Source organism: Homo sapiens, chromosome 12, assembly GCF_000001405.40.
Source record: "Homo sapiens chromosome 12, GRCh38.p14 Primary Assembly".
Classification (NCBI taxonomy): Eukaryota; Metazoa; Chordata; class Mammalia; order Primates; family Hominidae; genus Homo; species Homo sapiens.
The window spans coordinates 43,581,092-43,595,225 of NC_000012.12; the positions used below are offsets into that span (position 1 = coordinate 43,581,092).

General features: G+C 38.4%; 1 annotated feature.

Annotated features, from left to right (window-relative positions):
* Nucleotides 5,295-5,795: an enhancer, noted in NCBI's record as "H3K27ac hESC enhancer chr12:43980189-43980689 (GRCh37/hg19 assembly coordinates)". NCBI's record gives its function as "activates a minimal SCP1, AML or CMV promoter by ChIP-STARR-seq in primed H9 embryonic stem cells {active_cell/tissue: H9 hESC(primed)}" and the evidence as "EXISTENCE:reporter gene assay evidence [ECO:0000049][PMID:30033119]".

Sequence of the window (14,134 nt, forward strand, 5' to 3'; positions counted from 1 at the left end):
CTACATTTCTATAGCTGTTCTACAGAACAGCTATAGAAACTTTGAAATAGAGCAGCAAATGGGTATCTTTGTGTCCTGTAGGCTGTTTTCCACCCAACTAGCCAGTGAAGGCCTTTATGGGGTATTGGAGTTATGGATTCTAACCGAAACCGAGAATGCTTCAGACTCCAACTTAAGCTAGGAACACTGGATATCTTCAAACATGTTTATTTCTCTTTCTCAGAGTTACCTATGAAAATAGTCATGCCTATAACCATTGCAACATTTTTCTTTGAACAGAAAGTTTAAGCTACAATATTCAATGTTAGAAAATAGTTCTGAGACTTGATATAAGAAGTTTGTGGTAATTCTTCTAGAATAAAAGCTAAAATTGAGGAGATAATACAATTCTGTAGAATTTTAACCAGGGAGACAAGGAAAACTATCTTCTGTATCCAGTTTGATTCTTTAGGCATGATAGGTTTTCTTTTTAATTCTCTTTTTTTTCTATTGTCTTATGTTAAAAAGTATCTTTCTAAAATCAGAAGTAGAATAAAGTCCTTACTGGGGACACCAATTGATCAATTATCAAGACAATTATAACAAATTTTTCTTTCTTTGCATGATACTTCCACTGTCTATACATCCTCACAATCCCTTCAATGGAGTTTTCTCAGTGTCCCACCACCCGCAAATCTCAAGAGCTCCCAGATTCCTCTCATCAGCTTAGAGAATGCTGATGCTCACCTTCCATCCACGCTGATTTCTTCTAGTTCGAGTTCATGTTGTCCCAGTAGAAAAACCCAGTCCTCGTCCCCATCCGTGACTGATTCTAGGTCACTCCCTACTCAAATTCATCCTATCCTACCATCAGAGTTATTTTTCTAGAACAGTTTACTTCTATTAACAGTTTACTTCTATTAACAGCTGCACTCAGATTTTGTTTAAATCTTCAACTACTCCCCATTAGCTTAAAGAGAAGGTACATCCTACTTAACATAGCCTACAAAATTTCACAACCTAGTTGTGCACCTAATTCTTTAGCCTCACCTCCAGCCAACTTAGTCTTAGTGTATTATTTGAATACACCATGTGTTTTTTTGCAAGTCTTTTTCTTTCCTTCTGCTACTTACTATGTCTAGATTATTTTCTCCCCAAAGCCTCACCACTCCTGTATCCCTTTTATTTAGTCTTCAAGATCCAGATATTTTCTTCCTATATTTAGCTTTCTCTTACTCCCTTCTCCAAAGCAGAATTAATTGAATCTCACATGTAACACTAACTGAACATCTGCTGTGTCTAATAGCACATTAGATACTGGGGGTACAAATATAACAAGACCAGTTCTTACCATCCAAGAACTTTCAGACTAATAAAGGAGACAGTCCTGTATAAAAATAAAGGCAATTGAGTTATGTTAGCTTTATGACAGAACCCAGTACAATTGACCACAATGAAGGAGGTGGTCTGTTCTACCAGAAAAAAAGGGAAGGGAACAAGAAAGGCATCAAAGAGGAAATAATAATTGAGCTAATCTTGAAAGATCAACAGATATACAATCAGTAAATAAATAATCATCAAAAGAAGGGGGAAAGTAGAACCAGAAATACCATTTGATCCAGTAATCCCATTACTGAGTATATACCCAAAGGATTATAAATCATTCTACTATAAAGACACATGCACACGTATGTTTATTGTGGCACTGTTCACAATAGCAAAGACTTGGAACCAACCCAAATGCCCATCAATGATAGACTGGATAAAGAAAATGTGGCACATATACACCAAGGAATATTATGCAACCGTAAAAATGATGAGTTCATGTCCTTTGCAGGGACATGGAAGAAGCTGGAAACCATCATTCTCAGCAAACTAACATAGGAACAGAAAACTAAACACCACATGTCCTCACCCATAAGTGGGAGTCGAACAATGAGAACATATGGACACAGGGAGGGGCCTGTTGGGGGATGGGGAGTTAGGGGAGGGATAGCATTAGGAGAAATACCTAATGTAAATGACGGCTTGATGGGTGCAGCAAACCACCATGGCATGCGTATACCTATGTAACAAACCTGCACGTTCTGCACATGTATCCCAGAACTTAAACTATAATAATCAAAATAAAATAAAATAAAATAAAATAAAGAGGGAAAGTCTATTCAGTCGTTCAATTATTCATTCATCCAACATTTATTGAGTGACCATGATATTCCAGGCACTGCACCAGGTGCTGAAAACACAAACATAAATAAATTATATTCTTTGTCCAAAAAAAGACAAACAATTATATAATTATATTACAATGGATACGTTAGACAGCTCCCAGTAATAAGGAATCTGACGCCAATTTCATTTTTGATGTTTGACTATTGACAGCTTTCATGCCCTACCCTACGCCTTTCCCTTTTGTCCCACATAAGGGGAAGATAAAAAGAAAACCTTGGGGCTCCATTCATTGGTGTTGGCGGAGAAGTGCACACCATTCAAACCCAGTTCCTCTGGGAACATTCACTACAGCCCCACCCTCTCAGCACAATAGAAACCAAAGCCACTGGCTTCCCTTTTCACTCAAGACATTCCATGAAGAGGTCCTTCACATCCCTTGTAAGTTGGATTCCTAGGTATTTTATTCTCTTTGAAGCAATTGTGAATGGGAGTTCACCCATGATTTGGCTCTCTGTTTGTCTGTTGTTGGTGTATAAGAATGCTTGTGATTTTTGTACATTGATTTTGTATCCTGAGACTTTGCTGAAGTTGCTTATCAGCTTAAGGAGATTTTGGGCTGAGACGATGGGGTTTTCTAGATAAACAATCATGTCGTCTGCAAACAGGGACAATTTGACTTCCTCTTTTCCTAATTGAATACCCTTTATTTCCTTCTCCTGCCTGATTGCCCTGGCCAGAACTTCCAACACTATGTTGAATAGGAGCGGTGAGAGAGGGCATCCCTGTCTTGTGCCAGTTTTCAAAGGGAATGCTTCCAGTTTTTGCCCATTCAGTATGATATTGGCTGTGGGTTTGTCATAGATAGCTCTTATTATTTTGAAATACGTCCCATCAATACCTAATTTATTGAGAGTTTTTAGCATGAAGGGTTGTTGAATTTTGTCAAAGGCTTTTTCTGCATCTATTGAGATAATCATGTGGTTTTTGTCTTTGGCTCTGTTTATATGCTGGATTACATTTATTGATTTGCGTATATTGAACCAGCCTTGCATCCCAGGGATGAAGCCCACTTGATCATGGTGGACAAGCTTTTTGATGTGCTGCTGAATTCGGTTTGCCAGTATTTTATTGAGGATTTTTGCATCAATGTTCATCAAGGATATTGGTCTAAAATTCTCTTTTTTGGTTGTGTCTCTGCCCGGCTTTGGTATCAGAATGATGCTGGCCTCATAAAATGAGTTAGGGAGGATTCCCTCTTTTTCTATTGATTGGAATAGTTTCAGAAGGAATGGTACCAGTTCCTCCTTGTACCTCTGGTAGAATTCGGCTGTGAATCCATCTGGTCCTGGACTCTTTTTGGTTGGTAAACTATTGATTATTGCCACAATTTCAGAGCCTGTTATTGGTCTATTCAGAGATTCAACTTCTTCCTGGTTTAGTCTTGGGAGAGTGTATGTGTCGAGGAATGTATCCATTTCTTCTAGATTTTCTAGTTTATTTGCGTAGAGGTGTTTGTAGTATTCTCTGATGGTAGTTTGTATTTCTGTGGGATCGGTGGTGATATCCCCTTTATCATTTTTTATTGTGTCTATTTGATTCTTCTCTCTTTTTTTCTTTATTAGTCTTGCTAGCGGTCTATCAATTTTGTTGATCCTTTCAAAAAACCAGCTCCTGGATTCATTGATTTTTTGAAGGGTTTTTTGTGTCTCTATTTCCTTCAGTTCTGCTCTGATTTTAGTTATTTCTTGCCTTCTGCTAGCTTTTGAATGTGTTTGCTCTTGCTTTTCTAGTTCTTTTAATTGTGATGTTAGGGTGTCAATTTTGGATCTTTCCTGCTTTCTCTTGTAGGCATTTAGTGCTATAAATTTCCCTCTACACACTGCTTTGAATGCGTCCCAGAGATTCTGGTATGTGGTGTCTTTGTTCTCGTTGGTTTCAAAGAACATCTTTATTTCTGCCTTCATTTCGTTATGTACCCAGTAGCCCAGTAGTCATTCAGGAGCAGGCACTATTCACAATAGCAAAGACTTGGAACCAACCCAAATGTCCAACAATGATAGACTGGATTAAGAAAATGTGGCACATATACACCATGGAATACTATGCAGCCATAAAAAATGATGAGTTCATATCCTTTGTAGGGACATGGATGAAAATGGAAACCATCATTCTCAGTAAACTATCGCAAGAACAAAAAACCAAACACCGCATATTCTCACTCATAGGTGGGAATTGAACAATGAGATCACATGGACACAGGAAGGGGAATATCACACTCTGGGGACTGTGGTGGGGTCGGGGGAGGGGGGAGGGATAGCATTGGGAGATATACCTAATGCTAGATGACACATTAGTGGATGCAGCGCACCTGCATGGCACATGTATACATATGTAACTAACCTGCACAATGTGCACATGTACCCTAAAACTTAGAGTATAATAAAAAAAAAAAAAAGAAAAAAAAAAAAAAAAAAGAAATATGATAGAAAAAAAAAAAAAAAAAAAAGACATTCCAGACCAGCTTTTATGCCTGCCCAGCTTTTTTTTAGAAAGTCTCATTATGTGAGCAATAAATCTTTTCCTACCGCTTGGATGGAGGGATGGAAGCATCTTCAGTCTAACAGTCTCATCATCCTAACCAATTATGGATGAGTGTTTATTGCCCTCCACAAAGCAACCACAAAACATACCCCCGCCTCCTGGTATTCATGCCCTTGTATAATTCTCTCTGCTTGAATGTGGGCTGAGCCTAGTAACTAGCTTCAAGCAAATAGAATACAGCAAAAGTAATGGGATGTCTTTTCCAAATTAAATGTCAAAAAGACTCTTGGTTTCTCTCTTGCTCAACTTCTATTGCTCTCTTGCTTTCTCTGATGGAAACCAGTTACCTATGAACAGGTCCACATCATCAGTAACTGAGGGAGGCCTGTGGTCAATAGCCAGGGAGGAACAGAAGCCCTCAGTCCATCAGCCCATGTACAGCTGAATTCTGCCAATGACAATGTCAGTGAGCTTTGAAGTGGATCTTTCTCCAGTTGAGCCTGTATATGAGACCGTTGTTCCAACCAACACCTTCAATCGTAGCCTTTCAAGAGACCCTGGATAGAGGACCCAGTTAAGCCATGCCTGGATTTCTGACCCACAGAAACTGTGTTACAATAAGTGTTTGTTGTTTTAAGTCACTAGGTTTTCGGGGAGTTCGTTAAACATCAATAGATAATTAATACAATGGAGTAGTGCAGTAGTGGTGAAAATATACAAAGATATTGACACTTTGGGGTGATGGTTAGGGAAGGAAGGGTGGCTAACCCAGTTTGGACAGCATGGGTAAAATATGGAGACCAAGAAACCTGGTGAATCAATGAAATGTAGGTGCTTACAATAATTCAATATGGCTGGACTAGGAAAAAGGAGGAGAGTGTGGAGCGCTGAGTCTGGAGATACATACTGAAGCAGGATATGAGAGCGCCTTGTAAGACCATGAGAAGTAAGCAGTTATTAAAGAATTCCAAACAACACAACGACATGATTATATCTGTGTAACCTGAGCCTGAGCTGTTTTTTGCCTCAGATTCGGACGTGTCCAGACAGGTCTTGAGGGCAGGTGGCCCAGGCCCTCAGTAATCTGTTTGCCTGAGTAGTCAAGAAGCTTCTTGGGAAATAGTCCATCCATAAGAAGTAAGAGTTCCAAGAACTCTTGAAGTGACAAAAGACCAGTGAGCCTAAGCTTAGGAATGCAATGTCTGTTCCTGATTGTTCTCCTTCCTAGTCCCCAGGGACTGATGCCTCAGCCCCAAGGAGAAGGAATTGCAATGTTGCAATGACAAGCAAAGAAACACCTGTTCCACAAGATGCCCATGAGAACCTCAGATCCCAAGACAATATCAGCAAATCAGCGTTAAACATCGGACACCAACATTGACATCAGTGCTATGGTAAGAACTCCAGCAGAAGGCATTATTCTCTCTTTTCTTTGAAAGGACAAGACAGAAGAAACAGTGGACAACAAGACTATTTCAGAGCACACATTAAATGTCACCAGCCACCCAGGCTTCTGTATTTGGATAAAAATTTGAGGGATCTAGAGCTTCCCACAGAGGGAGGGAGATTTGGGAAACAGAGGGAGAGACAGAAACTATTTTTTATTAATAGGCTATTTTGTAGTACAGTTTAGATTTACGGAAAAATCGAACAGATAGTAAAGAGTTTCCACATGCCCACCCCCTGTGGTTTCCCCTGTTATTAACATCTTATATTCATATGCTAGATTTATTACAACTAATAAACCAATATTGATACATGAGTATTAACTGATGTTCATAGTTTAGTCATATTTTCTTAGTTTTCTTAGGATCCCATTTTCTTAAGATTCCATCCAGGATACGACATGACAACTGGTTGTCATATCTCCTTAGGCCCCTCTTAGTGGTAATGTTTTCTCGGACTTTCTTTGTTTCCGATGACTTTGATAGTTGTGAGGAGTACTGGCAAGATATATTGCAGAACCCTCCTCTCTTTAAATCTACCTGATGTTTTCCCCATGATGGGTTTGGGGTTATAAGTTTTGGGAGGGGAAGTACTATTTTGATATTGATGTTGTGTCCCCTTATTACCTCCACACTGCTTTGACCTGAGAAATATAGTGTATTTCATTTGTATTTTGAAAGGATCACTATTGTAGCAAAAATATGAAGGGCCAAGAAACTAAGCAATATGACCAACTTGAAAACTATTGCAACAATTCAGACATAAAGAGGATACGGGCTGAGGCAACGGTGGTGTAAAAAGAATGGATGAGGTAGATAAAATATACGTTAAGAACGTAGAAATCACAGAATTCTACAACCAATTGTATTGGTTGTAGGTGTATGAATGGGGAAATCTGTAAAAGTGACTGAGAAGAAATGGTTGAAAATGTGAAAGAAGAACCAGAAAGAGCAGTGTGCCAGAGCCGAAGGAAAAGAAAGTCTCAGGAATGCTGTAGTAATTCAAACAAATGAGGGCCAAGCAACCTTTGGACTTGGAAATTAATATGATTATTAGTGAGCATTATTGGGAAGGGCTGGGAAGTGAATTCGATGTAAGGAAATAGAAATAGTGCGCATTAATATTTCTAATCATTCAAATTATAAAGGAAAGGAGAATGATGAGGGTCATAGCTAGAGATATACAGAATTGAGGACTTTTAATGATATAAGAGACAGGAGCGAATAAAGAAAGATTGAAAATATGGCAAAATGAAAAACTGGTCTTAGAGAAGATGAAAATGTGGAATCATTAATGATAATAATAGTTACGCCCACTGAATATCTATCTAACTGTTTCAGGTCCTGGGGTAGGGCTTTAATGCATAAATGACATTAACCTTAACACTCCAGGGAGGTAGGTGTGTGATTATTCCTATTTTATGGACAAAGAACTAAGACATAAAGGACTGTGAGTCAAGATTTGAACCTAAGCAGCTTAACTCCACATGGTTATTCATTGCTTTACATTGCTTCTCCAAAGCCTGGGTGGCAGCCTGAAACAGCAGAAGAGACATCTGTGAGATGAAGGAAAATTAATGAATGTGGGTGGCACATGGTGGTTGCATAATAAATATTTGTAGGATGAATGGAAGAATAACAGAGTATAGATAAAGATATGTAGCTATAGGGCCAGAAGTCAATAGAGGTCACAATTTATAGTGCTGATTACATCACCATCGATGAATGTGTACCATGTTATGCACGAACAGTATAGCACTTTTTATTATGTTACAATTCTGTGTTTCACCTCTGTCTCCTTATTTATCTGAATCCCACTCCCTCAGCTATGAGATTGGTTGGGGCTAACTTATCTGGCCTGGTTCCTTAGGCCAGAACTGGAAAAGACCAGGAAATGTCAGAAGCAAGGAGAAAACAAAGCTCAATGAAAACGTGAAATCCAATGAGCTGAAAATCAAAGATCCCCAAATAGATGGAAGGAGCAGAAGCAGGTTTGGAATTCAAGAGTCTGAAGACCAGAATTTGAAATCCTGGGAGTCAAGAGCCAGGAGAGGGCTGGAAAAAAATGATCTTAACAGATGTCACCTTCTGAGTTTTATTTTTATCTGTCAGTCACGGTGATGAATAGCCAAACTGGCTACTTTAAAAGGTTGCAAGGGGCCAGATACCTCCAGGTAGCAAACATCCTGGGGGAATGGGCTATGTCTTTTTTTTTTTAAACCTGTGATTATGTCCCTAGTATCTGACACAGTGCCTGGCATAGAGAATGTGTTAAAAAAATAAAAAAGACTGAATAGAATGGACTAATCATCTATGGGTTTGAGTTAAATATTTTGGGGGAGTGATTAATAACTATTTTGAGTTATAAGATATCTGAATTTGAACTTGATGATCTGAACTTGATAATGCAAATTTAAGCTACAACGTCACTTGAATTTGCATCTTACAGAACATCCCTGGCTTATCATTGGATGTTGTTGACACATGTAATCTGTAATCCTACTTAAGGTTATAAATAATTACCTTTCAAAGGGAGCAATAAATAGAACCATGATTCATAAATTTATTAATCCTTCTTTCTAATTGCAGACAGCTGCAGTGTTCCAAAACATTTTTACCAAATATATAACCAACCCAGGTGCATCTATCTGGTCTTCAGGCTTTGCCAAGTTTACCAGTTAGGATTTGATCAGTGAAGTAGAAACACTGTAATTGCTATGGGATGAGGGATTTATTATGGAGATTAGGCCTTAGGAAATTGTGGGAACTGATAAAGAAGTCTAAGGAAACACATTGTCTCTGCCTCTGGTGATGGGCCTGAAGTCACTGCAAGACAATAGGACTGACAGTCTGGATGTGAACTGACGTTGTCTAAGGACAAACTAGAACCCACAACAATAAGAAACAGTCTCTCACTGTTTCTAATCTTGAGATGCAGGTGACACGCAGAAGGGATTCATTCACTTCTTCATGGAGCTGCACATGTGCATGGCTCAGGACCCTAAGAAGCTGAAGGAAGACATGAGGGGAACAGGAGAAACTGCAGGCCAACTACAGCCCAGCACCAAGAAATTGGGCCAGTAGATCAGCAATGAAGTGCACAACCTTCAACCTTTCTAGCACCTTTGCCTAGCACCTTTGATGGACTTTCAAAGCACAGTTGCTACTGCTTTTCTTCTGCCTCCCAAATATCACACAAATTACTGCTGTGGTCAATTCTAATCTGGAACCATACAGTAAAGGGATTCTGGGAAATGTTGTTTCAATTTGGCTGAGTAGACACAAAATAAAACCAGCATACTAAGTCATGTCTATGTGCTCTGCAAATTTGTGTTGGCCCCTCAATCAGGACCAATCTCACTCCAGGTGCTTTACAGACCACTTCCCTTTTTCTCCCAAGTATTTTGTCAGGTTGTTAACACACATCATCCTATTTCTACTCGAGTGTGGGCACAGCTAAGTCTCTGCTGAAATGTTTGATAGCCTGGAGTAATGGTAGTATGCCATAGCTCTAGAACTGGCTAAGTCCAATGGACCTCCTTTTACTTCCACCCACCAGAAGGAAACTCTAGACATCAGTGACCCTTGAGCTCCCATATCATCCACCCATAGGACTAGAGAAAAGAGGCAGATTTCAAATTCCAAGCACCACACCCCAGTTTCCATATCTGCCTCTGCCTGGTTTCCTTCCAAGCCTTTCCTCCATGGGGCATGACAACTTAAAGAACGTACTTTCTTTCCTTCAGGGAGAAAATGCTCTCCTGCACCTATCAAGTGTGGTTTGGCCCGCATGGCCCAGAAAAGGAAAAACAATGCTAATCCAGTAAATTTCCTAAATTAATCTTAAATAACACCCTTTGTGGGATGCCAAAGTGATGTTAAGTTAGTATGTGAAATGTGACCTGGCTCCTTTTTTAGCTTTTCCTGATATAAGATGAAGAAATCATGTCTGCATTTCTTTTCTGCTGTGATCTAGTCTTGTGACTAGCTAATAACAAAGTTTGAGCAAAGAAAACCCTTCCTCATGTACGCAAACGCATACTTTTCAAGAATACTAATGCTCTTGGGCATTTGGCAGCTTAAGACCAGACTCGATAAAAGAGAGGAGAGAATTCTGTCTCCAGCGTGGAATGGTCCTCCTAAAAATGTACAAAATATTTTTATTAAATAGAAGCTTTAACATCTCATATGAAACACTGCCTATAGAGTTCATGATTGCTTTATTGTTTTCTCCAAGAATAATGGGTCGATATTTGTCTTATAACTAAAGGACTGCAAATATGTATTTGTATAACTAAAGGAATCTAGTGATTCCCGCAACCTCCACCACCAAATCAAAGTCTGTTCCAAGGTAAACTGACATCTCTACCTCTAGAAACAGAAAACTGTTGGCAACTCTTAAAGATTCTTCTCTAATTAAAAAAATTTAAAGACTCAATGAGCCATGCTATTGCCTATCTAATGCACCTTCCCACAGAGATTCTTTCACATCTCTGAGCCTCATTTTATGAAATGGGGACAATACCTTCCTTGAAGAGATATTATAAGAAATAAATGAGATTTGGTATAATATTTTTATGGCACGAACAACATATTAAGTACTCATCTTAGTCTATTTAGGCAGCTATCAGAAAATGCCATAAAGTGAGTAGTTTATAAACAATAGAAATTTATTTCTCACAGTTCTGGAGGCTGGGAAGTCCTCGATCAAAGTACTGGCAGTTCGATGTCTGGTGAGGGTCCACTTTCTGGTTCAGAGATAGCTCCTTCTACTAGTGTCCTCACATGGTGGAAGGGAGAAGACAGGTCTCTGGCTTCTTTTACAAGGGCACTAATCCCATTCATGAGGGCTCTGCTCTCATGGTCTAATCACTTCCTAAAAGATCACAGGTCATAATACCATAACCATGAGGTTAGGATTTCCCTGTAGGAATTTGGGCAAGACACAAACATTCAAACCACAGCAGTGGTTTGAATCAATAGATAGAAGCTATTATTATTCTATATTACCTATAATATTCATTTCAGACATGTATATGTACAAACACATGGATGTATGTGTGTATTAATACATTTCCTTATATATTATCTACTACATATACCAGAGAAAAATAATTCTTATTTCCATATTGCGCACATGTGTGAAAGAGAAAGAAACCCATCTGTATAAGGAGAAGGACATGGAGTGAAAGAGAGCAGTACTGGGTGAGGAAAAGTTTAGTGAAATAAAACAGAAACTCTCTCTCAAATAACTGTAGTGAAATCTCACTTATGTTCCAGCTTAGACACACCACCAGATATGCTTGAAGAGTTTATTTGATGTCAAGTCTACTGAAATCAACTGCCCTTGATTTTTATTCTTACTCGCCATAGAAATAATACTAAAACTTTTGAGGACAGTGAGTTATGACAAATTTCCAGCATTTCTCATAAGAACAGGTGGTGTACTGTCTAATTTTTCGCCTCATTTTTCACTTATGCTAAATCATAGCATGTGTTTTTTATAGTTAAATGTGCAAAGTTGGAACAATGTTACTTTTTTCTGTCATTTCTTATTCCTCAAATATTTTTCATTATCTTCCAAAATAAAGCTATTTAAATTATATGGGGGGAGGAATCTCTCCATTTATCATGCTTTTCTCACTTAGCAAATAATAAATAATTTGACTCATATTGCTAACGAATTCTCCCATGTGCCCAATACTCTCTGAATAGTTATTGAGATTCTTCTGTGTACCAGGCATTTTTCTAGACCCTGGAGAGGCAGGAAGAGGTATCAGTTTCTGACTCTAATAGATTATTAAGTTTACTACCAGGATATTCAATAACCATACAGTGTGACCAAAGATAAATACAAAATACTATGTGATGAGAAAGAAGGGAATAAATATTCTGTAGGGGACAAAGGGAAAGTTAAAAAATACTTTACCACTGAGGTAATATTTTAACTGGTTATTGGTAGATAAACAGGAGAGGCTTAGACAGAAATGATAGAAAAGGGTTTTAAGTAGAGGAAATAGCCTAAGCTGTGGTGGGGAGAAATGAAAGACCATGAAGCTTCCTGGGTTAAGGAAAGTGATGCTTCAAGAAGGGAGTTTTTCAAATCAGAGGGAAACAAACACAGCAGAGAAATTTAGAAAGGCAATCTAGGATGCAAGTGGAAGAATCTGGACTTTGTCCTATCAGCACAGAACCCTTCATAGATTTATTTTCAAAATATTGACTTAGCTCAAATATTCAAAAAGTGAAAATCAAATAAAATGGTATGGAATTGTTATTTTTCTGTGTATTTCTTCCTCAATTTTAACCTGGGCACTATAATATTTTACTAGGTTTCCATATATTTAAAAGGCCTGCCGATGGACTGTAAAACAAAGCCACAGAGTGAAGAAATTTTAAATAATGCAAGTCTGGGAATAAATTCAGAATAGAATGCAGCTTTCAGTTTTTGTTTTAAGGCTCTCTATCATTACATTGTGAGAAGATTTGGTGGAGGACCTAAAATATTGAGGAGTCTTTATCTTCTAACTTACCTGTCGGTAGTGACTGCAAATTATTTGTAAGACAATGTTTTTAGTAATCCATTAACGTATAACAACAACATAATCCTTGGTGGGGAGGAAGGAATATGTAAAAGAAGGGTGGAATGACAAACTAGGGATTTTAAAGATGCCTGAGACTGATTTATCAGCTGTGATGCAATGTCTTTGAAAAAATAACAAGTAATTCCAAGCAATATTAAAACAATCCCAGAAGCTGACACTCTCCCTCTGAAAAGAAGCTAAAACATTGATAGAAAGAATGCAAAACTGAAATAGACTGATTTTCAGAGTGTCACCAAACCAGGGAAGAAGAGCAGGCCGAAGATATAATAAATTTTTAAAACTTCAATTTCAGAATTTCCAAGAGTTAAAATAAGAGTCATCTTTCATTACCTTTAATTCTATAGAAAAAAGTTAAATACATTTCAAATTGCAGCCATTTATATCCATTGACTCATATAAATTGATATAGGTATGTTTTACACAGTTGTTATTAGACTGTACATATTTTTTATTCACTATTTCTCCAAATACATATATCTATGCACAGTAATTTCTAATTACTGCAATATATTCTAATTAGGATTTCTAGTTGGCTCAACAATGTAGGTGAGAAGGAATTTCTACCATCTCCAAATAAACAATCACTACCATTCAGCCGGGCGTGGTGGCTCACGCCTGTAATCCCAGCACTTTGGGAGGCCGAGGCGAGTGGATCACGAAGTCAGGAGATCGAGACCATCCTGGCTAACATGGTGAAACCCCGTCTCTACTAAAAGTACAAAAAATTAGCTGGGTGTGGTGGCGGGTGCCTGTAGTCCCAGCTACTCGGGAGGCTGAGGCAGGAGAATGGTGTGAACCCGGGAGGTGGAGGTTGCAGTGAGCCGAGATCGATCCACTGCACTCCAGCCTGGGCAACAGAGCAAGACTCCGTCTCAAAAAAAAAAAAAAAATCACTACCATTCATAATTGACTTGCATGTGAAAGAAAAGTAGGCCAGGAATTAAGAGGCCATCCTTTAGTCCCAGCTGTATGTATTGTTAATATCCCAAGTCACTTTACTGCAAACTATATTACCTTCTTCAGACTTCCTTTTCCCAATTTACAGTAGAACGTCTGAAAGGAAGATTTAAGTCTTCTGGGTCCCAGATGCTGAGATCCTGAGAAGTACATTCATTCATTAATTCATGTACTCATTTATTTATCCATTCAACTAACATTTACCGGGTATCACAACTGCGCAGGTTCTGGGATACAGTTCCTGGGGATACAGCAGTGGAAAAGACCATCAGAAATCCCTGCTCTCTGAAATTTATACATTCATGATGGGAAGTAAACAATAAGCCAATAAGTAAATTGGGTAATGTCAGATAGTTATAAATGCCGGGAATGTAATAAAGAAAATCCAAGAAGAAGCAAGGATTTGGTTTGGGTACCTGTGTACAAACTGAAGTA